Source organism: Homo sapiens, chromosome 1, assembly GCF_000001405.40.
Source record: "Homo sapiens chromosome 1, GRCh38.p14 Primary Assembly".
Taxonomy (NCBI): domain Eukaryota; kingdom Metazoa; phylum Chordata; class Mammalia; order Primates; family Hominidae; genus Homo; species Homo sapiens.
In genome coordinates this window covers 231,612,864-231,640,064 of record NC_000001.11, presented here as the reverse complement: position 1 = coordinate 231,640,064, position 27,201 = coordinate 231,612,864, and the positions used below count along the sequence as shown (strand labels likewise).

Genomic DNA, 27,201 nt, shown 5'->3' with positions numbered 1-27,201 from the left:
AACTCACATGGTGGCAGAACCTCATGTGCACAGATGTGAAGCAATTTAGAGTCTTCATTTATCCTACTTAGTGGGAACAAGCATCTGTTTTGCTGTAGAAACACTAATGTGATTCAGATAACATTACATATCTGTAGAAACACTAACGTGAATCAGATAACATTAATCCACTTGGACCTGGATTAGGACAGGAGGGAGCCACAGATCACTGGACAAGCAATGAAGCCAACAGATTATAGGCAGGACTGGCTGCTGGGGACAATACAAGCAAGTTTATAGTAAAAGCAGTTCTATACACATAAATGATGACAGGTTGTGACAAACACTGATCACATTGGACCTTCACTACAACTGTGTAAATTGAGGGCTGATATTATCCCCATTTTCACAAGGGAGGACACTGAGATCTACAGACACTAGAGGACTTATGCAGGACCCTGAACCTCCTTCCCCATCCATGTCCTTTCCACCTGGCCACTCAGCCGGTTGTGGTTAACTATCACTTATCCACAACAATAGCAAGCAAGTTGAAGTATTCTGATCACAATTTAAGTGAGTTTGCCTTTGGAATGTACCTCCGTGCTTCTAGGAGAAGATGCACTTGTCCAGTGTTTCAGGAATGCACCATACTTCATGATAAATGATGAACGCAGGAGGTGTTGGGAGCACCACAGGTGTAAGGGTTGGCTAGGGGGATGCTGCAGTGCCCCATGCTTCATCAGTCCCCTAAATCCACTCCAAATTAAAATCATGATAATGTGCTTTGATATGGAGAATGGACATTTTTCTCTCACGAAATGTGTAGATGGAGGCTCCTTTAGAGATTTTTGCCACTTTTGGCATGTTGATCTTGAACACGCAATCTACATGAAAAGTGTGCTTGTGAGCCCAAGCAACATGAAGACAAGTGCCTTGTGCTCCTCTTTCTAACCCAACCGTTACCTAATCCTCTCCCTGTGATGTTTCAAGAGCCACTCCTGGTTGGGGGCAATTCTACCTACTCCTGCATGCCATGGTGGCTATATTACACATGCTGTTTTAAAGCAACCCAATTCAGTAAGTCTTTACTGTTACTATAAGTCTAACATGAATTATAAGAAGGCAAATGAGACAAGGTTTGTCCTCAAGAAATTTACCCCAGACTAATACAAAGACATACCCAAAACAGTGGATTTCTCTCCACTAAATTCCTGATGATTCACACTTTCCCTGCTCTGTGATGATTAATAGTTATTCATTTTAATCAAAGGCAGTCTCCTAATTTGGATGTTGTCTTTTAAAAAGGGTATTTTACTCATTAAAAAAGAGAATAACGAGTAAACACAGCAATAGGTAACAAATAGGCTGGTATAAAAATAGACACATAGATCAATGAAACAGAATAAAAAACCCAGAAATAAAGCCACATATTTACAACCAACTGATCTTTGACAACATTGACAAGAACATACACTGGGCAAAGGACACCCCTTTCAATAAATGATACTGGGGAAATTGGATGGCCATATGCAGAAGAATGAAACTGGACCCCTATACCTCATCATATACAAAACTAAATTCAACTAAAGATGAATTAAAGTCTTATAAATAAGACCCAAAACTATAAACATACTAGAAGAAAACTGAGGGAAAACTCTTCTGAACATTGGTCTATGCAAAGAATTCATGACTAAGACCTCAAAAGCACAGGCAACAACAACAACAACAAAAAAGCATAGGGAAATGGTACTTAGTTAAACTAAAAAGCTTCTGCAGAGCAAAGGAAATAATCAACAGACTTAAGAGACAACCTGCAGAATGTGAGAAAATATTTGCAAACTATGCATCCAACAATATCCAGAATATGCAAGGAACCCAAACAATTCAACAACAACAACAAAATAATTCCATTAAAAAGTGTGAAAAGGACATGAATAGACATTTTTCAAAAGAAGACATACAAATGGAAAACATGTTCAACATTACTACTAATCAAAGAAATGCAAATTGAAACCACAATGAGATGTCATCTTATGCCAGTCAGAATGGCCATTATTAAAAAGTCAAAAAATAACAGATATTGAAGAGAATGCAGTGAAAAGTGAAAAGGGAAATTTTAAACACTATTGGTGAGAATGTAAATTATTAAAATCTCTATGGAAAAAAGTATGGAGATTTCTCAAAGAACTAAAAATAAAACTACCATTTAATATAGCAATCCTACTATTGTGTATCTACCCAAAGGAAAATAAATCAATGTATCAGAAAAATACCTGGACTCACATGTTTATCACAGCAATATTCACAACAGCAAAGATATGGAATCAACCTAGATGTTCATCAACAGAGAACTGGATAAAGAAAATACGGTATACATACAAAAGGGAAAACTATTCAGCCATACAAAATGAACTCATGCCTTTTCCAACAACATCGATGGAACTGGAAACCGTTATCTTAAATGAAACAAGTCAGACACAGAAACACAAATATCACATGGTCTCACCTACAAGTGGGAGCTAAATCATGTCCACACGTGGATGTAGAAAGTGGAATAACAGACAATGGAGACTCAGAAGGGTGAGGATAGGAGGAGTGAAGGATGAGAAATTACTCAATGGGTACAATGTACATTATTTGGGTGATGGACATCCTAAAAGCCCCGACTTGACCATTAGGCAAACTATGCATGTAATGAAATTGCACTGTACCCCATAAATTTATATAAATAAAAAACTAATCATTTGACCGAGCAATCCCATTACTGGGTGTATACCCAAAGGCTTGTAAATCATTCTACTATAAAGATACATGCACACGTATGTTTACTGCAGCACTATGTACAATAGCAAAGACTTAGAACCAACCCAAATGCCCATCAATGATAGACCGGGTAAAGAAAATGTGGCACATATACACCAAGGAATACTATGCAACCATAAAAAAGGATGAGTTCATGTCCTTTGCAGGGACATGGATGAAGCTGGAAACCATCATTCTCAGCAAACTAACACAGGAACAGAAAACCAAACACCCCATGTTCTCACTCATAAGTGGGAATTGAACAATGAGAACACATGGACACAGGGAGGGGAACATCACATACCAGGGCCTGCTGGGGGGTAGGGGTCAAGGGGAGGGAGAGCATCAGGACAAATACCTAATGCATGTGGGGCTTAAAACCTAGATGACAAGTTGATAGGTGCAGCAAACCACCATGGCACATGTATACCTATGTAACAAACCTGCATGTTCTGCACATGTATCCCAGAACTTAAAGTAAAATTTAAAAAGCAGAATAAAATTTTAAAGGTAGTGTCAATATAAATTCATACCAAGATTAGCTGAAGGGAAAGTAACTCCCATAAGACATCTCATTTTGTTTCCACTGAGCCTGTTCTGACTCCTTGAAATGGCAGAAACAGGGGTAATAACAATATCTTTTATCATGTATTACCTTATGCTTTTCAAAAAAAGTTTCAAAAACACAATAAATATTTGAATAAATGCACTTAGATAATCCCAAATCAGAGTCAAGAAAATATATAAAAGTTAAATTCAAATGATAGAATTTGTCCATTTTTCCATTCAAATTACAATTTAAGTCAAGTAAAGAAAGACATACAAAAGCTGCATGATTAGGAGGGAGTGCAGCGCTCATCCTCCTGTCCCCAAGGCCGATTAGCCAGCTGGGTGAGAGATGAGATCATGAGTTCTGGGCCAATGAGTCACTGCCCTTCACCATTGCCCCCAGACACAAACAGCTGCAGGTCTCCCAAAGCGTGTGTCCACCCTACGGAGCTGCCACCCTACAGAGGAGAAAATGTGGGTGAAAGTAAGCAAAAGCAACATCACAACCATGAAATTAACTCAGTGTTCTACAAATGGAGAATTATATATCTCTTTCTGAATGAAGAGCAGCATATTTCATACACAGTGTGGAAATAAACATTGAGTAAATTGTTTTCAAAATTGTCATACCTAGGAGTAAACCCAGCAATAGGTAAATTATAAATTAAAGGAGCCCTTCTTTCTTCCTCCATCTATCCATCCATCTAGACTGTAAGGTATTTATTAGGCATCTACTGGTGCTAAATACTTCTTAATGATTTTAGTACACCCCGATGTGCCCAGTCCTTCTGATGAAACAATATCCGGAAACTTCATGAGAATGAATTCTCTTTTTTCCACGGGACTATAGGCTTCTCAATGGTGTAGACAACACTATCTATTTGAATTTACATATCAATTTACACATATATATACAAACATAAGTATATATATTTTTTATATTCAAGAGCTATCATAGTATCTGACTATATAGTGTATGCATCTCAATAAATATTTAAACTGAACTGAACTTCTGAAACTCCTGATTGGTTTCAAAAGATATAAAAATAATAGACTTGGTTAATCTATGCATTGGATTAATACATCCTAAATATAATTAAGAGTTTGGTCTAATCCAGTGAGAACAGAGTAAACCATAAGTGTACTACATAGATGAGGGAGTAAGGAGATAAACCAGAACTGAAACCTTGAGTTGAAGAAGTCTACATTGGAGTCAGAAAAACAGGTTATATCCATAACAAACTATAACAGAAGAAGGAGAGAGCAGACGATTCCAGAGAACCAGGGAAGGCTGAGAAGCATTATTGATTTGCTAGGTGGTAAATGAGGGATGACATTTTGATGCGTTCAGATTGGGAGCAAGAAAGACGGATTCTGTAATATTCTCGGTGGGCAGAATAATGTGCATAATAAAAAGGCCAGAGTGTCCGTTTTAAGTGTTTAAGGGCCAGTGTATGGAAAGCTTGAAAAGAGATGCTAAGAATTTGCTTGGGGGGAGATAATGAGTCTCTGAAAGCCCCTTCCACAGAGGAACAATAACCCAATCAGATCTGTGCTTTGTGAGGACTGTCCTGGCAGCAGTGTGCAGGCCTGATTGGAAGGAGTTACTCAACAGAGACATAATGACATAATCCAGTATCAGAACTGGGAAGACACAGGAAGGGCTGGAACACCTTCTGAAGAGGCATCCTAGGTGTGGCTGTTAAGCTCTAAGGCCTAAGAATACCAGGCTCCCTTAGTTCTCTCTAGACTGGATGGCCCTTGAGAACAATCTACATTTTTGGTTTTGGGGGAGTTTTTTCATTTTTTTTTTGAGACAGGGTCTTGCTATGTTGTCCAGGCTGGAGTGCAGTGGCTATTTGTAGGCACAAGCATAGCGCACTGCCACCTTGAACTCCTGGCCTCAAGCAATCCTCCCGCCCCAGCCTTCCAAGGAGCTGGGACTATAGGCATGCACCACCATGCCTGGCACTCTACATTTTTAAGTACCCTGCAATGTACAACACTGTACTGTGTATACAGTAGGTGCTAGTGTTTGTGAATGAATAAATAAACACAATGGAAGAAATTAATGGATAAGTTAATGTCTCTAGGAGATAATTCTATAAACTAAGGAACACAAAATGATTAATAGAGTCGAGGCAATTTAAGGCCCCCAAATCTACTGTTTAAATTGAATACAGATGCTCTATCCCCAAGGACAGTGTCTCACATTTCATTTTGCTTGGCCTGCAGCTATAACACAAGACGCTAGGGAAACATTAAGACTTGTACTGAAATACGCAAACTTTTTTTCTTCAGAAGATTTGTGATCCCAAAACAGCTCTTGCAACTCTAAGTTTCCAGTGTAGCAGAAATATTAGAACCCCGTTTTATCTCTGTATTTACTTTTTTTTTCACTTGACCATTGTAAAATAATCTTCCTTTTCCTATCAGTGTTGGAGTAAGATGAGGCATGCTTTCACTACAAATGCAAAACACGCACATTCTCCTGTGTTAAAAATAAAGTCCAATAATCAATCCACTCACAAACCAAGAGATGACAGGTACAGGCCAGGCGCGGTGGCTCACTCCTGTAATCCCAGCACTTTGAGAAGCCGAGGCAGGCGGATCACTTGAGTTTAGGAGCTCAAGACCAGCCTGGCCGACATGGTGAAACTCTGTCTCTACTAAAAATACAAAAATTAGCTGCACGTGGTGGGGCATGCCTGTAATCCCAGGTACTTGGGAGGCTGAGGCAGAAGAATTGCTTGAACCTGGGAGGCGGAGGTTGCAGTGAGCCAAGACTGCGCCACTGCACTCCAGCCTGGGCTACAGAGCAAGACTCCGTTTCAAAAAAAAAAAAAAAAAGATGACAGGTATGAAAAAGAAAAGTTAGGTAGGCGTACATGTCACAAAATGCAATTTCAACTCAGATTCCACATTCAGGACACAACTTACTCATTAAACTTTAGATATTTCACCTTTCAACCTGTGAAAGCGATTAGTCTCCATGCAAGGCCACCTGTCAAATGCACGTTTCTACTCCTGGTAGATTTGTTCATCTGGGCGAACATAATTGTGTTAATGATCAATATCAATCCTAGACATGTACAGCTCTGGGGAGTTAAAGTAGCTACGACATTCGGGCAGATGACTGCAAAGAAGCTATCTAGGCTTCCTGAAATGGAACCACCTGGGCAAGGGAAGGAAGCAAAATGTGGAAGCCCAATGAGCAGGGAATAGGAAATTTACACAGTAGCTCAAATCCTGCACAATCCCAATCCTGCAGGACAACGATCACAGCATCTTAGCACTGGAAGGGTTCCCATTCATCATCCAACGCAGCCCCCTCCCCAGTGCAGAACCCTCATGACAGTCACCCTAGAGTCATCCACACTGCCCTACATACTTCCAATGACAAAATGCTCTCTGCCTTTCGGGGTAGCCTATTCCATCAATGGATAACTATTTTTAGCAAGTTTTTAATTTAGTCAAAAAGTGATACCTTTCTAATGTGTGGCTGTCATGCTAATTCTAATTCTGAACCAAGTAGCCACTCAATAAACGTTGAATGAATAAATAATGAATTCATGAACAAATAGATTCTTAAGGATCCATTGACATTTAGTGTAACAATAGTAATTACTTGAAAATCTACGTGGTTTTTTGTTTGTTTGTTTTTTTGACGGAGTCTCTCTCTGTAGCCCAGGCTGGAGTGCAGTGACATGATCTTGGCTCACTGCAACCTCTGCCTCCCAGGTTCAAGCGATTCTCCAGCCTCAGCCTCCCAAGTAGCTGGGATTACAGGCACACGCCACCATGCTCAGCTGATTTTTGTATTTTAAGTAGAGATGGGTTTCTGCCATGTTGGCCAGGATGGTCTCGAACTCCTGACCTCAGGTCATCTGCCCACCTTGGCCTCCCAAACTGCTGGAATTACAGGCATGAGCCACTGCGCCTGGCTGAAAATCTAAGTTTTTAAGAGCCATCATAGCTCAAAAAAAAGGGATTCAGTTCAATTCATTTAATGTATCTTAAGCAGGGATGAATTATACAGAACTATGAAATGAAACACAACTTAATGAAAACAGTTCTAAGTAAAAGAAGAGGAGCCAGGTTCTAACAATCACTCTGCTGCTGTTTCTCACTTTTCTCACCTGTAAAAGAAGAAGGCCAGATTACATGATCTCTACTGCCACTTACAACATTCAATACTGTACAATAAATATATGATTTATCTTCAGAGATTGCCATTCCTCACCTCGAGGAGTTTACTGTCTTATTTGCATTTCTCTGAGAGTTCAAACTTTGAACTCTGAAAATAAACGGTAAATGTCCACCCATGACAGGCAAATGTTGTGGCTTAACAGGTAGAATTTTATCCACATTTTTTTATGATGAGCAAGCACAAGGCCACGTGGCTGGAAAATTAACCTGAAGTTGACATGAGAAAAATAATGTGGGGCTACTTATTTCAATCACAGTCATGCATCACTTATTGACAGGGACACTTTCTGAGAAATGTGTCATTAGGTCATTTTGTCATGCAAACACCATAGAGTGTACTCACAAAAACCTAGATGGTATAGGCTATGACACACCTAAGCTATATTGTATAGCTACTGTTCCTAGGCTACAAACCTGTGCAGCATGTTACTGTACTGAATACTGTAGGCAGCCGTAACACAATGGTAAGTACTTTTCCATCTAAACATATCTAAACATAGACAAGGTACAGTAAAAATACACTATAAAAGATGAAAAATGGTACACCTCTATAGGAGGCTTATCATGCATGGAGCTTGCAGGACTGGAAGTTGCTCTGGGTGAGTCAGTGAGTGAGTGGTGAGTGCACGTGAGGGTTGAGGACATAATTTCATGCTACTGTATTTATAAACGCTGTACACTTAGGCTATACTAAATTCATTTAAATTTTTTTCTCAACAATAAATTATCTTTAGCGTACCATAACTTTTTTTACTTTATATATAATAATTTTTAAATTTTTTTAATTTTTTGACTTTTTTATAAAAACACAGCTTAAAACACAAATACATTGTGCAGCTGTACAAAAATATTTTTTCTTTATATCCTTATTATCCTATAAGCTCCTATTTTTAATTTTTATTTTTTTACTTTTCAAACTTTTTGTTAAAAACTAAGACACAAACACACACACTAGCCTGGGCCTACCCAGGGTCAGGATCATCACTATCCCTGCCTTCCACCTCCACACCTTGTCCCGTTGGAAGGCCTTCAAGGCAAAAACACGCATGGAGCCATCATCTCCTATGACAACAATGCCTTCTTCTGATACCTCCTGAAGGACCTGCCTGAGGCGGGTTTACAGTTAACTTTTTTTTACTAAGTAGAAGTACACAAAATAACATTAAAATGTATAGTAAATACTAGGCATTAGGAAATTGACAGCCCAGTATAATCTTATGGGACCACTCTCACATATGTGACATTGACAAAACGTCATTATGCGAGGCATGACTGCACTTATTTTGAGACTATGTCTCTGCATACATAGTTCTCAGTAGCATCATTTGTTAAATAAGGATGCCGACATCTTACCTGCCAGAACACAAGGAGTTTAGCCAACTGGTGTTTTGAAGCTTCATCTGACAATAAGTTCTGTGATTCTGTTTATAAGTCTGTGACGAGTGACCCGAGTGACTGGAGGGAGCCCCATAATGTCTAGCATCCATTTCTGAGTCATGACAAAAAGCCAAAGGGGAAATGGGGCAGGGAAAGGAAGCAGATACAGGACCAGTAGTCATATAAGGGGCTGTGCACACCATGTGAGCCCCTGCCTACCTTCTACAGCTAAATGTCAGTATTTCATTCATTGCCCAGCCACAGTTCTCCCTTCCTGCTTCTACTTGGTGTGAACATTTGAAAGCTCATTGCAAAGTCTTCGCTCAAGAGAAACAGCTGGTGAACTCTGGTTTTGAAAGAAAAAATGGATTCTGAACGGCTAAAGCATCTGGAATTTTAAAAATTACATGATTGTTGCACAGAAGTCATTCGCTAAGGAATTTTTACCACAAAGTCATTAAAGTTAGGAACTAACAACGGAAGACTCCTCGAGGCTAAAAGTCTTATATTACTAAACGGTGCTGACTGAAAAATGGCTCTTCACCGGTGGTTCCAGCTGTGCCAGGAGGGGACCCTCCTCAACCCAGGGTGGCTGCCAAGGGAATCTCTGGAAACAGTGGGCTCTGCTTGGATTCATGAGAACACAGCATATAAACTCAATTACCATCATTATTATCAAAAGAATGATTCTGGCCAGGTGCAATGGTTCACATCTGTAATCCTGGTACTTTGGGAGGTCGAGGCAGAAGTTGCTTGAGGCTCAAGGTCAATCTGGCCAAAATAAGGAGACCCCATCTTTTTTAATTAAAAAAAGAAAAAAAAAGAATGATTCTAATTCTGGTCTAATGACCCTAACCTAAAATATTACCTTTTTTTGTACTCAGAAACTTTGTGTGCTGGTCTTTAAATCTTGTTTAAAGGGCCCGGCGCAGTGGCTCATGCCTGTAATCCCAGCACTTTGGGAGGCTGAGGCGGGCAGATTACAAGGTCAGGAGATCGAGACCATGCTGATCAACATGGTGAAACCCTGTCTGTATTAAAAATACAAAAATTAGCTGGATGTGGTGGTGGGCGCCTGTAATCCCACTACTCGAGAGGCTGAGGCAGGAGAATCGCTTGAACCCAGGAGGCAGAGGTTGCAGTGAGCCGAGATCGTGCCACTGCACTCCAGCCTGGCGACAGAACGAGACTCCGTCTCAAAAAATATATATATTGTTTAAAGGTCACCATTGTACCCTCTCTTTGCTCTGAAGGTCCTGCATCAAACTTTAACCAAAACCACAATAAAATTCAAATATCAACAATTTAGTCTCTAATCCTTCTCCAATCAAAATTTTTAGATTTTAAAAAAAGAAAAAGTTTTAATGAGCATAATAAATTGGCTTTGTTCTACATTAATGTCATAATGTTTGAGCAATTAGCAAGTACTATTTTTGTCATTTAACAAAAAACAATAATAGTTTGCCTCTCACTTTTGGATGGATGCATGCAGCATAGAAATGGGTTACAAGGACAGAGACACCAAGCTATTTGTCTACCTTGGTGAGATTACAGTATTTTTTAGTGTTCACTTACTTGTTTGTAGCTTTCTGTGCTTCCTGTAATGAGCATGCATTGCTTTTGGAAAAACAAAAACCAATAAGATAAACTTAATTTAGGAAACAAATAAACTAGGAATTGTTTCTGCAGCACAGAAACAGAGCATTCACGCTCCTCTCGGAAGTTTCTGCTTTCTTCTGGAGGCATCTTGGGTGAGCAATGAACTTCCTGCAGAAAAGTCCCGGGGCCCAGCCCTGCAAAGTAACCATGACACCCAACGCCTCGATTTCCGGTTACACCTCATGTGCTATCCTAAGGGTTCTGGCAAATGAGTGTTGAAACAAAACAAAACAATCCAGATACCACTTAGAGATTTGTGATGAGATCTTGCAACCTGTTCTTTCAATGTTTTAATAACTTTTCTGCAAATTGTCATCATTTGTTTTACAAGAAGATAGTTTAAAGTATATTTTATAAAATAAGTCTGAGGGAAATTAAAATTATGCCAAAGCCTCTTTTGCCAGGATTAACAGTTCACTCTTACATTTTGGGTCTATAGATATGCAGGATGGAGGTTGGGCCTGGTGGCTCATGCCTGTAATCCTAGCGCTTTGGGAGGCCAAAGTGGGAGGAATGATTGAAGCCAGGAGGTCGAGACCAGCCTGAGCAACATAGCAAGACTCCAACTCTAAAAAAAAAAATTAGCTGGGCATGGTGGCATGCGCCTGTAATCCCAACTACTCAAAAAGCTGGAACAGGAGGATCTCTTGAGCCCAGGAGTTCAAGGCTACAGTGAGCCATGATTGTGCCACTGCACTCCATCCTGGGTGACAGAGCAAGACTCTGTCTCCTAAAGAAAAAAAAATTACCTAAATTCTAATATAGGTCTGTTCTGAATCACAGCTCCACTCTATAAGTTCAGTTTGGCAAGCGGCCAAGAACACAGTTGTGAGTGGCACCCACACCAGGGTTCTAATCCTGGCTTTACACTTAAGAGCTCTGTGAGCTTGGGAACCAAGCAGGGTGACCCTGAACCTCAGCTTTGTCATAGGGAAATGAGGACTGTAATCCCAGTCCCATAAAGATGCAGGGAGGATTTCATCAAAGGAATTCATAATAAAATGTCTGGCACATTGTAAGTTCTAAAAACCTGCAGATGTTACCATTCCCTCCTAGTACTATCATGTCTTATATGTGCATAGTGACTCATACTCCACAAGGTGCTTTCAGATCTTTTGCCTCATTTAATCCTCAGGCAATGCGATCAGTACAAAAGGCAGTAATTACTACCCCCATTTTTCTTTTATCTTTTTTGTAAACAGATGAGAAAACAGGCTCAAAGTCAAAGAGCCCGAAAAGCGGGTATCTTGTCCACGGTTCTTTTTGCTCTGTGGCACAGAACTGAACCTCAGAGGACTTCATGTACCATGCCGAGCACAGGAGAACTACATGTGTTTTTAAATGCCCTACTATTCCTGCATTAATCAAATCAAACTGGTATTCTCACATTACTCCCAATTATTTAGATTTTGCCTAGGAAAAATAGCAACTAAGGTTTTTTGAGAGTGCACTGGGTATTTCAGGCATTGGGCGAGGTGCTTCACTTCCACCATCACAGTTAAACCGCATAACAACCCTATGAAGCAGGTACTGTCATAGTCTCCTGCATGTCCAGGATTGACATGCAGGCAGACTGTCTCCAAACCCCAGTTCCTATGGTCCTAGTGCTGTCCAATTCAAATTTGTCCAGTTGATGATAACACTTTGCAAATTGATTTCCCATACAACAAACCTAACGACACATGGAGGCCAGGCTATGAGTGTTCTCCTTTACATTTCAGGAGACTGAGGCTCTGAGAGGTTAAGCGACTGACCCAGCCCTGTCCTCACCCAGCAAGAACACAAGGCAGCACTCCCTAACTCCAAATCTCACTGTCTTTGGAAAACCTCACATTTTAAGAGTGAGAAGGTAGAAGTCCTGTCATTGTTGAAAAACAACCATCCACAATCATCACTAAGAGTTGACAGCGAGACCCGCGCTCCAGGCGGTGGAAACCGAGCAGTCTCCGGCTTGGGCCATCCCCGTTACTGTAGCCAAGTAGGAAGTGGGCGGTGACACTGATTTCAGAGCAGCCCCTAGGGAAGGCACAGGCACCAGTTCCTGGTCCCGCTCCCAGCCTCCTCCCTCCAGGTCCCCGAAGGGGTGGAACCCGAGATCCAGCTGGGTCTTGGGGTTAAGGCGGGCGGGACGTCCCCTGTCCCGAGGGGGCGCAGGCTGGGGCGCACCGCAACGAGAGTGCAGGCGGCGCAGGTGTCCCAGGACGGGGACGGATCCAAACCCCAAGCACGCCTCTGCAACCTTTCCCGGTCACCTGGACACGCAGCGGGGGCGCGGGTCAGACTCCTACAGTTTCGCAAACTGCGGGTCCCGGGGATCGCTGCACAGTCCTGGGTCAGGGACCTGGCCCGGCTCGGCGCTGGTGCCGGGCTGGCAGCCCAAGACTCGCTCTTCTCTCAACCTCGCACGCCTCGCGTCCTGCCTCAGTTTCCCTCACCTCGAAAGGGGTTGTTAACAGAGGCACGCCCTGACCTACGCGACTTCCTGGGGGCCAGAGCGCGCCCTCCTTGCCAGGACCCCCCCAGGACGTGCTAGGACTCTGTGGCAGCTCCCCTACCTGCGCGGTGGCTCACGCCGCCGCCGCCGGCGGCGGCTGGGGCGCCCTGAGGACCCCCGCCTGGCATGCGCCCCGCTGCCAGCTCCTCCCGCTCCGCCTGGGCTGCCTCCTGCTCCTTCCCCGAGGCCAGAGGCGGGGGGAAGGGAGCAGCGCGCTGGACGGGAAGTGGGGAGGGGGCTGGCGACGAAGGGGGCGGCTCCTTTCTTCTCCTCAGCGAGTCCGCTGTTTCCTTTCCAGCATTGGCCCCTGACGCGCGCGCGCGCGCGCACACACACACACACAGACATACACACACACGCTGCTGGAGCGGGCGGGGCCAGCGGCCCTCACAGCCTGTCTCCGGGATCTCAGGACCTCAGAAAGTTTGCTTTCACTCTGACTCATTTCTGGAAGAAACAAGAGGGGAAGTGCAGGAAGCCTCCAGGATGGGGTACAGGAGGGCGCCTTCCAGACGCATGATTTAAGAAGTGACCACACAGTGATGGAGAAGATGGAGGGATGTGAGGGGCTCATTTATACAAAGTGGGGGCGGGGGGGAGGAGTGGGGATAACTGATGACCCTGGAAAGAGATGAGTGGGAGCAGATGTTTAGAAATGAGATAGGATTCCAACTTCTAGCATCTTCCAGCAGCTCCGGGCTGGTTCCAGGACACAGAAGTCCATGCAAGCTCCTAGGCAACTGACTCCCCCCTTCACCCCTTCTCTTTGGTTCATTCAAGGAAGCTACTGGAGCACCCCCTAGGTAGCACCTGCTATAGGACAATGGGTACAAGGAAGGGCTACACATGAGCTCTTTGCCCTTAAGCAGCTCACCTCCAGGCTAGAAGGAGAGCACGTGCATAGAAAACGAAATCACAACATGAGATAGAATGTGCCATGTGCCAGAGGCTTGGCACAAAACCTCTTGCAATGGTTCAGGGATAGGAGGGAGAACTGTGAAGAAGAAGGGTTGGGGAGACGTTCTGCAGGAATGGGAAGGATCTCCTTAGAACGAGAGGAGTTAGAACTAGAGGAAGGCTGAGGTCCTTCAAAAGCTGAAGATCTTAAGACTGAAAGCACACAGTTGTACTTAAAATCAGTGTGTTTGCCCGGCATGGTAGTGCACTCCTGTAGTCCCAGCTACTCGGCAGGCTTAGGTGGGAGGATTGCTTGAGTCCAGGAGTTCAAGGCTTCAGTGAGCTATGATGGGGCCACTGCACTCCAGCCCAGGTGACAGAGAGAGACCCCCCACACCCCCACCACATCTCTAAAAATAAATAAATGTATGAATATCTAAGGCCAGGCACTTTGGGAGGCCAAGGTGGAAGTTCACTTGAGTCCAGAAGTTTGAGATCAGCCTGGGCAACATAATAAGAACCTCTTTTTTTTTTTTAACTTTTAAGTTCAGTTTGTTACATAGGTAAACTTGTGTCATGGGTGTTTGTTGTACAGAGTATTTTGTCACCCAGGTATTAAGCCTAGTGCTCATTAGTTGTTTTTCTTGATCCTCGCCCTTCTCCTACCCTCCGCCCTCCAAAAGGCACCAGTGTGTGCTGTTCCCCTCTATGCGTCCATGTGTTCTCATCATTTATCTCCCACTTATAAGTGAGAACATGCAGTGTTTGGTTTTCTGTTCTTGTGTTAGTTTGCTAAGAATAATGGCCTCCAGCTCCATCCATGTCCCTGCAAAAGACATGATCTCATTCTTTTTTATGGCTGCATAGTATTCTATGGTATATATGTACCATATTTTTTTATCCAGCCTATCATTGATGGGCATTTAGATTGATTCCATATATTTGCCGTTGTGAATAGTGCTGCAGTGAACATGTGTGTGCATGTGTCTTTATAATAGAATTATTTATATTCCTTTGGGTGTATACCCAGTCATACGATTGTTGGGTCAAACAATATTTCTGTCTTTGGGTCTTTGAGGAATCACCACACTGTCTTCCACAATAGCTGAACTAATTTACACTCCCACCAACAGTGTAAAAGTGTTCCTTTTTCTCCACAACTTCTCCAGCATCTGTTATTTTTTGACTTTTTAGTAATACCCATTCTGACCGGTGTTAGGTGGTATTTCATTGTGGTTTTGATTTGCATTTATCTGATAATCAGTGATGTTGAGCTTTTTTTATATGAATGTTGTCCACATATATGTCTTCTTTTGAAAAGTGTCTGTTCATGTCCCTTGCTCACTTTTTAATGGGGTTGTTTGGTTTTTTCTTGTAAATATAAGTTCCTTATAAGATGCTGGATATTAGATCTTTGTTAGATCACAGTTTGCAAAATTGTTTTCCCATTCTGTAGGTTGTCTGTTTACTCTGTTGATAGTTTCTTTTGCTGTTCAGAAGCTCTTTAGTTTAATTAGATCCCAGTTGTCAATTTTTGCTTTTGGCATCTTTGTCGTGAAATCTTTGCCCATGCCTATGTCCTGAATGGTATTGCCTAGGTTGTCTTGCAGGGATTTTATAGTTTTGGGTTTTACAATTAAGTCTTTAATACATCTTTAGTTAACTTTGTATAAACTGTAAGGTAGAGGTCCAGTTTCAATCTTCTGCATATGACTAGCCAGTTATCCCATCACCATTTAGGAAATTCTTTACCCATTGCTTGTCAAAACCCTTTCTATAAAGAAAAAAAAAATTAATTAGCCAGCACAGTGGCCTGTACCTGTAGTCCCAGCTACTTGGGAGGCTGAAGCAGGAGGATCACTCTAGCTCAGGAGGTCGAGGCTGCACTGAGCAGTGATTGCACCACTTCCCTCCAGCCTAATAGAGTGAGACCAGGCTAATAGAGTGAGACCCTGCCTAAAGAGAGAGAGAAACAGAGAGAGAGAAGCTTCAAATCCTGCCTGAATTTTTAGCCTAGCAGCCTGCCCTTCAAATTTCAAACTTGCTAGACCTTAAAATCAAGTGAGCCAATTCCTTAAAATAAATCTTTCTCTTCTTTCTCTCTTTTGCCTCTTTCTCTATCTTTTTCTTCTCTCTATCTCTTTCTCCTCTCTTTATCTCTCTCCGTTTCTCTCTTTCTCCTCTCTCTCTCTTTCTCTTCTGTCTTCTCTATCTATCTGTCTATCTATCTATCTGTCTTCCTGTCCTCCTCCCACTTGCTCACTCCTTTCTTTGGGTCCCCTTCATTAGTTTCTCCCCTTCTCCCCACCCCTTATCTTGGATCTCCCCAGAATTTAATCCATGGCTTGCTTCTCTTCTTGAGCATCCCTCATACTTGACCTTACTCATCCCTCTCATCCACTTCCAGGGTTTCAACCACCCGATGCAACCTCAATCAGAATCCCTGACTGCAACCTCTCTCCCAAACTCCAGATTCATATTTCCAACTTACAGATTCTGCTGGGTTCTCAAAGTTAATATCACCAAAATTATTCTCATAGTCCTCTCTAGCACATTCCCAAAACTGCTGCCCTTCCTGTATTAAATTTTCTTCAAGATAGCTTTACTCTCTTCTTCTCCTCCCAGCCAATCCTACATCCCCGCTCACCTTCGCCCTTTCATTCAGCCATTGGATCCTGTCCTTTCCACCTCAGAATTGTCTTTTGTATCCATTTCCTCCTGTCCATCCCTCACTAGCCCTAAATTAGACTGAGCTTCATTGTATTTCCAACTGCCCCCTCAACAGCACCACTTGGTTGTCTAAGAATCCATTCAAACCAACCAAATTGAAAACCATTCCCATTCTTTTCCCCTCAATTCTGTACTTCTAATTGTGTTCCATACCTCCACTACTGGTCCTACCAACCATCTCATTAGCCCTGTGGCATAGTCTGGAAGGCATCATACTATGTGGTTAGGAGGATACGCTCTGCACTCAGATAACGGCACTATATCCAAGCTCCACTACTTCTTAGCTGTGGACTTTGAGAAGTTATTTAACCCTCTGCTAAGTCTCAGTCTGCTCATCTGCAAAACAAAGGTAATGGTGGTACCATAGAAGGTTGCTGTGAGAGGGTCCGATATATGGTCTAGAGTGGGGCCCAGGCAATGGATTTTTTTAAGCCCTCCAGGTGATTCTAAAGCACAGTGAGGGTTGGGACCCCCTTCTGTAGTGGTAGTATGGACAGATTTGTGGTAGATGCAGAAAGACTGATTAGGAAACAGGTAGGAGTTCCAGGTAAGACACCATAAGCATTTGTAACAAGGATAGAGAAGATATGGCTGGCTGAGCGCGGTGGCTCACACCTGTAATCCCAGCACTTTGGGAAGCCAACACAAGTGGAACGCTTGAGTCTAGGAGTTCAAGACCAGTATGGGTGACATGGTGAAACCCTATCTCTACAAAAAAAAAATTAGCTGGGTATGGTAGCATGCACCTGTAGTTCCAGCTACTTGGGGGGCTGAGGCAGGAGGATCACTTGAGTCTGGGAGGTTGAGGCTGCAGTAAGCCATGTTCACGCCAATGCACTCCAGCCTAGATGACAAAGTAAGACCTTGTGTCAAAATGAGAGGAGAGAGAGTGAGAGAAAAAGGGAGAAAATGGGGCCATATTCAAGAGACACTTAGGAAGTAAAATTATATGAAACTTGGTAACTAGATGTTGAGGGTAATTGAGAGGAAAGCATCTAAGATGACTCCAGCTTTTAATTTAGTTGACTAGGCTAGGTGGATATGGTTCCCAAATATGTTTGTTCATTATAAGCACTTGGGGAAAATTTATATATTTTTTCCTAGCTGTTATGTATTATATATTCCTAGTCTTATCAAAGACCTGTGTGCAAGATTATTCTATTTTCACCTTGATTATTCTGGGAACTATGTTTTGCAGAATCACCTTCCCTGAATGGATCCCAGCTACACTTGGCCAAAAGAATAATATTTGGGAGGTGGCAGTGAGCAGTAGTCATTTTGTTCTAAGGTTACTGTTGGTTGGAGACAGTCAGAGACAGATGCAAAGGTGCTGGTGGTTTCCAGTTTGCCCTGTCTCTCCCTATTCCATGCCCAGGTCTCCTCCTCAACTACTAGCTCTATGGACCAATAGCAGCCCCAGGCTCCCTATGAGATGCTTGTCTGCACATTCACAGAGGAAGTAGACACAGAACCATCAACCTTCTGTAGATGTCTATACCAGCCCCTTTACAGTCCTCCTCCAACAGCTGTACATACATAGCTCCCAGATTTTCTGTAAGCCCCAACTCATTCACCCACACAGGGCTGGTTAAACACCTTTCTCAGATCCTTCATCTCCCTTTTTAGACTTCTGCTTCTCCAGCTTTTCTCACAATTGTGTGAGGTCTAATTCCTGTAATACATTCCTTATTCCACAATACTTATAGTGGTTCTCCTTCTCCAATTGATCCCTCACTGGTAAACCTCCCAACTCCAAATCTCTGGTGTGGGTACTATAGCAGTCTTCCTTTAGTTTTTTGACAGCTTTCTCATTCCAACACAATGCTGTATTAATTAGCACTCTTAATTGCAACTAACCAAAACCAATATACTCTAACTGAAGTAAAACAAATTTTGGTGAGGAAACAAGAGTCATTTCATGGAGTCTGAAGGCATAAGGAAGCTGGTCTTCTGGAAACACTAGAGCCAGCTCTGGAAAGCCAGAAGGACCCTGGAAGTCTTGCTCATCCCTACTTTTTTCTGCACATCTGCTTCCAGTTGCTTCCAAGTTTACCTGTTTGTAATCCAGCCACATGAAGAGCTCGACCCTCTTGGAGCCGATTCTGGATCTTTAGGAGCAAGATCCTAGTGAGCTCAGTAGGTCGGGGGTCCCTCTCTCAGGTCATCAAGTGTAACTGAAGAAGTGGACCCCATAGGAACACAAGACAAGCATAGCCCCCAGGAAACCAACCCTGAATGAGGGGCAAGTGGAGACCATCACTTTGGACAGCCATCCCCAAATGTGCCTACTTTAAATGTCATGGTGAAGATTAGACACCATGAATCCTGCTGCCTGCAAATAAACAAATGACATCTATAGTTTCCCTCTGCTTCTAAGTTCTGGCTGCTAAGACATGTAAAGGTTGTCCACAGAGAGGATAACAAAGAGCAAATGATGAAGGGATGATTGTTCTATCAATCTTTTAAATTTAAATTACTGGACAACTCTTTCTTGTGAATACTACCAAAGTCTTCATGAGATTGGAAATGGAGTAATGCCATGCTGACACAATCTGAGGTCATAGCCTAGAATCTTTGCATCACTAGCAGGATCAGCAGTTGCTCTGTTGCATTGAAATTATGCATATCTACAGATTACATTTACACAGTCAATGAACATGAAATACTAGAGGTATGAAATTGTAGCCAGAATCTAGGAGCTCAGAGGAAGTAAAATGTACAACTCTTTTGCCAGGTAACAAATACTATATGATTCCACTTATATGAAGTAACTAAGTAGTAAGATTCCTAGAAACAGAAAGTAAACTGATGGCTGCTGGGGACTGGGAAAGGGGAAAATGAAGAGGTGTAGTTTAAAGGATACAGAGTATCCTTTTTAAAAAGTTTTGTAAAATAAAAGGTTCTAAAGGGCGGGGCATGGTGGCTCATGCCTGAAATCCCAGCACTTTGGAAGGCCGAGGCGGGCAGATCACAAGGTCAAGAGATCAAGACTATCCTGGCCAACATGGTGAGACCCCGTCTCTACTAAAAGTACAAAAATTAGCTGGGCATGGTGGCACGCGCCTGTAGTCCCAGCTACTCGGGAGGCTGAAGCAGGGGAATTGCTTGAACCTGGGAGGCGGAGGTTGCAGTGAGCCGAGATCCCACCACTGCACTCCAGCCTGGTGACAGAGACAGACTCTGTCTCAAAAAAAAGCTCTAAATATCCATTGCACAACAGTGTGAATAAATTAATACGACTGACCTCTACACATAAGCGTGGTAAATATGATGGGTTTTTTTTTACCACATTTAAATGGAAATAAAATATTATCACTACCAAAAATTGTGTTTAAGAATATGGAAATCTCTTAGAAGTTTACTAATAATAACTCATGGACACTTACAACATGACAGACACTATTCTATACAATTTAAACTTGTTAAAGGTATTTCACCTTTACAATAACCTGGTTTCATATCCATTTCTAGACGAGGTAACTGAGGCACAGAAGGTTAGAACTTACTCAAAATCTCAAACACAGTAAGTGGCCGAGCAGGGATTTGGGCCCAGGAAATCTGGCTATAGAGCCCATATTCCTACCCACAATCATATACTGTTCTCTCACTAGAGAAAATGGCATTTTCTGATGCCTGAGTACAAACTGTCACTCTCCATTCATATAATGAGACTTATACTTAGCAAATAAGTATGCTGTGTTTTCATGCATAATATTCTCTCCCCCTTCCCTTAATTTTATTCCCAGAGGAAGATGAGACAGGAGAAGGGCTATGACAATCATGCTTTATATACAATCAATGTTCCTTTTCATCTCCCCTTCTAAATTGTAAGCTGTTTGAGGGCAAATGCCATGCCTTATTCATTTTTGCATCCTGTCTGCCCAGAGACTTGTTGGAATGAATGATCTAAATTAAGATTCTGACTCTTGACAGGCTGGTTGATTTATCTGTCAAGTGTCCTGCAAATTCTCTGAGTATGGCAATGATAGATACTGAAGAAAATTCCCATCAAGTTACATAACTAGAGTTAAATAGGAAATATTCTCATTGAGAACAATAACAATGCTCAAACAATTCTGGGAAATTTAATTGTTTAAAGGAGATCTTTTCTTTAAAGAAATGTGAATGAATTGGAGAAAAGAAATCAGTCTTAAACTCAGGAAATAACATTAGACAACATGAAGACTCTCATTTGTTAATGCCTGGAAATAGGAAGTTGGTTCAGTTTCAAATACCATCAGATAGTGGCCATGCCAAAGGATGTTATCCTAGTGTTAGGCTAAATATATAATGTAAATAACCTTCCTTTTGCAGTGCATATTGTCTTAAAGCCACAATAGTGAGATAATTCATGGGAAACTGGCAGAGAGGCTGCAGGCTCCCGCTCTAGACCTGTGATCCCGAGATGCCTGCAACTTGTGGTCATCTTTACCTCCCAGTGATTAGCCTCCGCTAGAGATGTGATACTCAAAATGCGTTTACATGGTCAAACAGCCAAAGCCATTAAGGAAGGGTACATTAATTTTACTCTGCCTAAAGACCTACCACTCAATGGTTTAAACCTGTTTCTGCCAGTTTACCACATGTAATATAGGAACAGCTAATCCCCCTGACTCAGAATCTCTCCAGTCAGAGATTTATTCACAATTCAATAGTTCACTGTGGGAGGACTGCTCCTCCCCTGGCTGCTCGGTTTTGAATAAGTAGACTTTGTTCTCTATCCGTGTCTACATTTACTCCAACTTCCACCGAGGAAGAGACACTCGCCCCCCTCTCACTGTTTATCACCTCGGCCATATCACCTATCATTCCTAGGTGATAGGCACCAGCCCTCTCTTTCCATCTTTCACATTGATTGTCACATGTGACCCTTGACACGTAACACTTTGTTACTCTCACAGCTCTCATATACAGGGGGACAACATGAGTGGCCATAATAATAGGTGGCAACCTTATTATCATTAGAAAGCTCAGCAATTTCAAGCCTCTTTTTCTGATTTTTAATCTTCTGGCCAACCTCTCTTCATTGGTTTTCTGACCCAATCCTCTCACAGCTGATTTTTATGTTGTCTGATCAGTATAAATTCCTGGCTTGTGTCTTCTTAATGAGAGAGAGGGGACCTCCCTGTCCCCCAAAACTGATGCACATTGCAACCATCAGAAGCTTTTAAATGCCCCAATTCAACAGCCATATTAGAAGATCTCAGGAGGCTCTGCAGGCAGTTTCAAAGACAGCGTCTGTAAGTGGACCACTGTCCAAAGTCAGGAGTTCATCTCATTAATGAAGTGCTTGACGTTAAGCCACTCACCTTTTTCCCATCTCGTCCATGTTCCTCATGTGTTACACAGTGAGTAAAGTAATCGTGTGCTTTAATCTTCTCTTGCAGATGCTGTTAATGGTGAGGTCTCTGTAAGGCTATTCCAGGGGAAGAAAGGTTCATGCCATTCAGCTAATTTGAAATTTGAATTCAAGAATTGATTAGGGGTTCTTTCTCCAATTAAATGTGTGTGTTTGGGGATACATCACTTAATTTTCTAGCTTCCTTCTTTGAAAACAAAGGGGAAACCAGATGAGTGGCTTTTAAACTTTTGTTTCATGGCTGGTTGCTAAAAATTTAAGAAAAAACAAGAAGGTGAGATATATAATGACACTAACATTTTATTTTGCCAAGTAAATTTACTTTTTTTTTTTTTTAAGATAGAGTTTTGCTCTTTTTTGCCCAGGCTGGAGTGCAATGGCTCAATCTCGGCTCACTGCAACCTCTACCTCCTGAGTTCAAGCAATTTTCCTGCTTCAGCCTCCCGAGTAGCTGGGACTACAGGCACACGCCACCATCCCCAGCTAATTTTGTATTTTTAGTAGAGACAGGGTTTCACCATGTTGGCCAGGCTGGTCTTGAACTCCTGACCTCGGGTGATCTGCCTGCCTGAGCCTCCCAAAGCGCTGGGATTACAGGCGTGAGCCACCGCACCCAGCCATACATTTCTTTAAAAAAAAAAAACTTCTACCAACTACCATCGCCACTATTTCATATAGAAAAGCCTTCTTTTAACCTCAAAAAAATAATACATATGTGATAGAAGCTAGGACAGTTCCTTAAAAACAGTGAATTTTGCTTTCTCAAAAGCTCATTTATCCTGGTTTTTCCTTTCTTTTTTATTTTGTCCTGGCTGGTGAAACTTCCATAGTAGGTAGAACCAGTCCCCAGCTGTGGTCTTAGGGACCAAGTAATGAGACAGCCCCTGAGCTGAGGAAGCCAGAGAACTTCTCTTTTCGGTGTGATGCAGAGTTTGCAAAAATAAGCTCATGAATATTATTAAGCTTTATGTTATGAGAATGTTTACCCGTTTTCAAGTATAAACCTGTTTGTAAGATTTTGAATTTCAGATTTGGCCTTTCAGAGGACAAAACTGGAACATAGGCATAAGAACTAAACTACCAGTAGCCACAGAGGCACTCACCAAATATTTCTGAGTTGCTGGCATCCAGACACATAGTGGGAATGCCTTCCCAACCTCTCTGAAGCTGAGGATGGCCATGTGACTGGCTTTGGTCAGGGAAATGTGAGCAGAGGAGATATGCTTCCCATCTGGGCGGAAGCTTTAGAAGCCAGTGCTTGATTCATCACTCTTTTTCTGCCTCTATAGTATAAAAGTCTTCAGATGGAGCTTCTGTCAGCCTTGATCCCAAGAGCCTCTGTGAGTAGGATCTTGCCTGTAAACTTCTATAAAACATAAAACATGAACAAGAGAAAAGGAAGCATACATTGAATTAAGCTACTGAGACGTAGGTATCTTTGTTGCCACCGGATAACCTATCTCATCTTGATTAGTCTACCAAAGTTCTCTCAGTTCTGAAAGCCTGTACATGAATGGCCACACGATGTCTCAGATCGTAAGTTGTGGAACTGGAGCTGCTTTCACCAACAATACTGTCGTCAACAGCACTCACGTTCTTCAATCATGCTGCCTCCCCCAAATCCTAACTAAAGTGGTTCTAATATTGAGCAAGGCATTATTCCAGAAATGAAATCCAAGGCTTGGCAATAGTCAGAGCACATGAGGGCAGGATCATGACAACATGGGGAAGAGAAGATTTCACATGGTAGAGCACTCCTTGGGGGATTTCCTTGCTCTAGGTTGGAATCAGAAGGTTAAAAGACTTCCAATCTGGTTTCAAAATGTTTTATGGGACTTAAAGAAATCTTAAAGGGGAAGAGGAGACTTTTCTTTCATTCATCAGGCATCTGGGACTATGGATACAATGGCTGGAGCTCTAGACGCCATCTTGAACCTTGAAGACAAAGCCACAGCTTAGTAATGGCAAAGCAGATAACTGGAATTAGTCTGGTTCCATGACAACTTTGTGGGGTTGCCATATCCCTGCTGGATTGCCTTCCTTTAGATTTCCTTTATGGGACAGAGAAAAATTGTTACCTTGTTTATGCCACCATTAGTTGTTTTTTCTTATATGAAGCCAAGCCTAAATCTAACATTATATACCATTTTTTTTTCATTATTTGAAAGATACTGTTTATCTCATTCTTTTAAAAATTTTTGGCTTTTTGGATTTTTACAATTTAAAATAATGTATATAATTTATTTTAAAAGAAATATGAGGGCTGGGCATGGTGGCTCATGCCTGTAATCTCAGCACTTTGGGAGGCCGAGGTGGGTGGATCACCTGAGGTCCAGAGTTCGAGACCAGCCTGGCCAACATAGTGAAACCCCGTCTCTACTAAAAATACAAAAATTAGCTGGACGTGGTGGCAGACACCTGTAATCCCAGCTACTAGGAAGGCTGTGGCAGGAGAATTGCTTGAACCCGCGAGGCGGAGGTTGCAGTGAGCCAAGATCGTGCCACTGCACTCCAGCCTGGCAACAAGAGCAAAACTCTGTCAAAAAAAAAAAGACAGAAAAGAAAAGAAAAGAAAAGAAAAGAAAAGAAAGAAAGAAAGAAAGAAAGAAAGAAAGAAAGAGAAAGAAAGAAAGAAAAGAAGAAAGAAAGAAAGAAAGAAAGAAAGAAAGAAAGAAAGAAAGAAAGAAAAGAAAGAATGTACTAAAGAGGCATATTCTTTTTATTAATGTGTGAACAGAGCATGGAGCCCACTGGTGTGAGGAACTGACCTTGGGGAGCCACCTGGATTCCAGGCTGCCCTCCTTCAGTGTCTGAGGCTCAGCTCTGATGCATAGGGGTGGGGAGGGTGGCTAAGGAATTTTTACTTTAATCATCTTGGTCAGGTTTTGAAGGCTTTTGTTACCTGACCCTCTCTTCACAATGGGTTGCCATCTCCAAGTCTTTGGCCTGAAACCTCTGAGAATATGATTACCACTTCCCTTCACCTTTTGCCTATTGAGAAAAGCAACCACTACTTCTTTTGCTCTGACTCCAGTCAGCTTTTTGCGCTTTCTCAAAGAACAAGAAGTCATTACATCTCAACTAGCCTTCTAAACAGCCAGAGTTTGAACTGAAGTGTATGTATATGTGGTACATAAGGAAACTTAGGGGTCTGAAAGTACATCATGAAAATCTTGAGGCAATATTGAACAACTTCCTTTTTCAATCTCCAGGGATCTATTTAGCCTCTGGGTTTTTAACCTTTCAATATATCATTTGATTGGTAGTTACCCGTTCCTGAGGCCACTCAGGTGAGGAGGCTCCAGCAAGGGTGTAGAAGAGGATGAGAATACATCCCTGAGGCCATGCTACAGCATGTGAGAACAGAGACTGAAGACCAGTGATGACCACTGGAAACAGTTTACAATTCCACTGTGTTAGTCAGTTCTCATGCTGCTAATAAAGACATGTCCGAGACTGGGTAATTTATAAAGGAAAGAGGCTTAATTGACTCATAGTTCAGCATGGCTATGGAGGCCTCAGGAAACTTATGATCGTGATGAAAGGGGATGCAAACATGTTCTTCTTCACATGGTGGCAGGAAAGAGAAGTGCAGAGTGAAGGTGGGAAAGCCCCTTATAAAACCATCAGATCTCGTGAGAACTCGCTATCATGAGAACAGCATGGAGGTAACTGCCCCCATGATTCAATTACCTCCCACCAGGTCCCTCCCACCACACATGGGGATTAATGCAACTACAATTCAAGATGAGATTTGGGTGGGCACACAGCCAAATCATGTCATCCACCAAAGATATTCCTTGCTCCCAGGTCATCTTCCACCACCCATCTGCCGAGCTTTGCTTAGTGATTGACAGCCGACTTTATCACCAGCCTGGTTCCCATGGATTTGGAAAGGTCAATCTGCAGCTGCCTACCCCTCTATCAAAACAACTGAATGTGAATTCTAAAGCCAAATAGACATTCAAAAAAGTTATCTGTGCAAAATTCTTTCCATTCAGGCATATATGGCAAGAACTGACTCTAATGACATAATGCATTTGAACAGTTTCATATGTAGCAACCCTCAATCATTGCTAGTTTCTATCTTCCCTTCCCCTATTCTGCTATTATTCATTTCACCTCCCCAACTGAGAAATAAGATGATTTAGTCGAAGTTTGCATGAAGTATTATAAAGAGGTTTTATCATCTTGTCAGGAAGGCATTTTTCTCCATTCATTCTTCAAAGGAAGTCATTCTCCCTAACAATCAAAATCATCTATTTTCTTTACCTGTCTTCCAGGAAATGACATTGAATGAGCTAACACTATTGGGGAACGAATAGCACCGACAGCCCTTGAGCCTCTTGCAAAAGCACTTGCCCAATGAAATGTGCACTCACCCACAGCTCCAGCTGCCCCTCCTGCACAAGGTCAATGCCAGAAGCTCATCTGACTGGTTTGCCCCCAGGGCCCTTGAAACAGCAAAGCTGCACACCGTGATCAAACCATAGCCCTTCCCAGGAGACGCTGACTAAAGCACTTCACTCATTGAGAAGATTTTGTCCTAATCCAGAGGCTTTCCACCTTCCTGCTCATGAAGAGCTGATTTGGAACATCCCATGATTTGCTACAGATGATGGTTCTAGAAGCGCTGCCTGAGCACACCAAGACTATGTGTTGATATTCTCATAGACATTAAATCCATGGTTTCATCTCTTTGGTTACTGTTGCCATCAACCAACCTATGCATTTAATTAGCACCTCCTGGATACACAAGCAGTGCTAGGCATTGCGGGGGATGCAAAAATTAGCTGGTTGCTTGGCGGCAAAGAGAAGGGAAAAGGGATGAATAGACAGACCGCAGGAGATTATTAGGGCAGTGAAATCATTCAGCAGGATACTGTAACAGTGGATACACGACATTATGCATTTGGCAAAACCCATTGAATGTATAACACAACGAGTGAACCCTAATGTAAACTATGGACCTCAGTTTATAGTAATGTATCAATATTGGCTCATCAGTTGTAAAAAATGTGCAACCCAATGCAAGATGTTAATAATAGAGGAAGCTGTGGAGAAGGGGAGGGAGTATACAGGAACTCTGTACTTTCTGTTCAGTTTTTCTGCAAACCTAAAACTGCTGTTAAAAATAGTCAACCCA

At 42.2% G+C, this 27,201-nt stretch overlaps 1 protein-coding gene and 1 long non-coding RNA gene across 31 annotated transcripts in view, besides 5 other annotated features; both read right to left on the bottom strand.

Moving 5' to 3' along the window:
• DISC1 (DISC1 scaffold protein) overlaps positions 1-13,275 on the bottom strand; it is a 414,483-nt gene extending 401,208 nt beyond the window's left edge. For all 23 annotated transcript variants that reach the window (NM_001164537.2, NM_018662.3, NM_001012957.2 and 20 more), the window contains exon 1: positions 13,131-13,275. In NM_001164537.2, coding sequence (NP_001158009.1) covers positions 13,131-13,197 — 67 coding nt within the window. In that variant the 5' untranslated portion in view covers positions 13,198-13,275. The remainder of the gene's footprint in view (positions 1-13,130) is intronic.
• Positions 1-27,201, bottom strand: part of TSNAX-DISC1 (TSNAX-DISC1 readthrough (NMD candidate)) — a 512,620-nt gene that overhangs the window by 401,208 nt on the left and 84,211 nt on the right. For 4 of the 8 annotated variants that reach the window (NR_028393.1, NR_028394.1, NR_028395.1 and 1 more), the window contains one exon: positions 23,159-23,421. The exons of 2 other annotated variants lie outside the window; for them this stretch is intronic. This is a non-coding gene — a long non-coding RNA (TSNAX-DISC1 readthrough (NMD candidate)). Of the gene's footprint in view, positions 1-22,005; positions 22,113-23,158; positions 23,422-27,201 lie in introns of all 8 variants that reach the window. 2 more of the 8 variants (NR_028400.1, NR_028399.1) reach the window with 1 other exon arrangement.
• Positions 11,556-11,756: a silencer, noted in NCBI's record as "peak765 fragment used in MPRA reporter construct". NCBI's record gives its function as "represses an SCP1 promoter by STARR-seq MPRAs in K562 erythroleukemia cells {active_cell/tissue: K562}" and the evidence as "EXISTENCE:reporter gene assay evidence [ECO:0000049][PMID:32103011]".
• Positions 12,730-12,789: a silencer, noted in NCBI's record as "silent region_1955". NCBI's record gives its function as "represses an Ori minimal core promoter by ATAC-STARR-seq in GM12878 lymphoblastoid cells {active_cell/tissue: GM12878}" and the evidence as "EXISTENCE:reporter gene assay evidence [ECO:0000049][PMID:35858748]".
• Positions 13,120-13,379: a silencer, noted in NCBI's record as "silent region_1954". NCBI's record gives its function as "represses an Ori minimal core promoter by ATAC-STARR-seq in GM12878 lymphoblastoid cells {active_cell/tissue: GM12878}" and the evidence as "EXISTENCE:reporter gene assay evidence [ECO:0000049][PMID:35858748]".
• Positions 21,916-22,116: a silencer, noted in NCBI's record as "peak764 fragment used in MPRA reporter construct". NCBI's record gives its function as "represses an SCP1 promoter by STARR-seq MPRAs in K562 erythroleukemia cells {active_cell/tissue: K562}" and the evidence as "EXISTENCE:reporter gene assay evidence [ECO:0000049][PMID:32103011]".
• Positions 26,945-27,114: an enhancer, noted in NCBI's record as "active region_2731". NCBI's record gives its function as "activates an Ori minimal core promoter by ATAC-STARR-seq in GM12878 lymphoblastoid cells {active_cell/tissue: GM12878}" and the evidence as "EXISTENCE:reporter gene assay evidence [ECO:0000049][PMID:35858748]".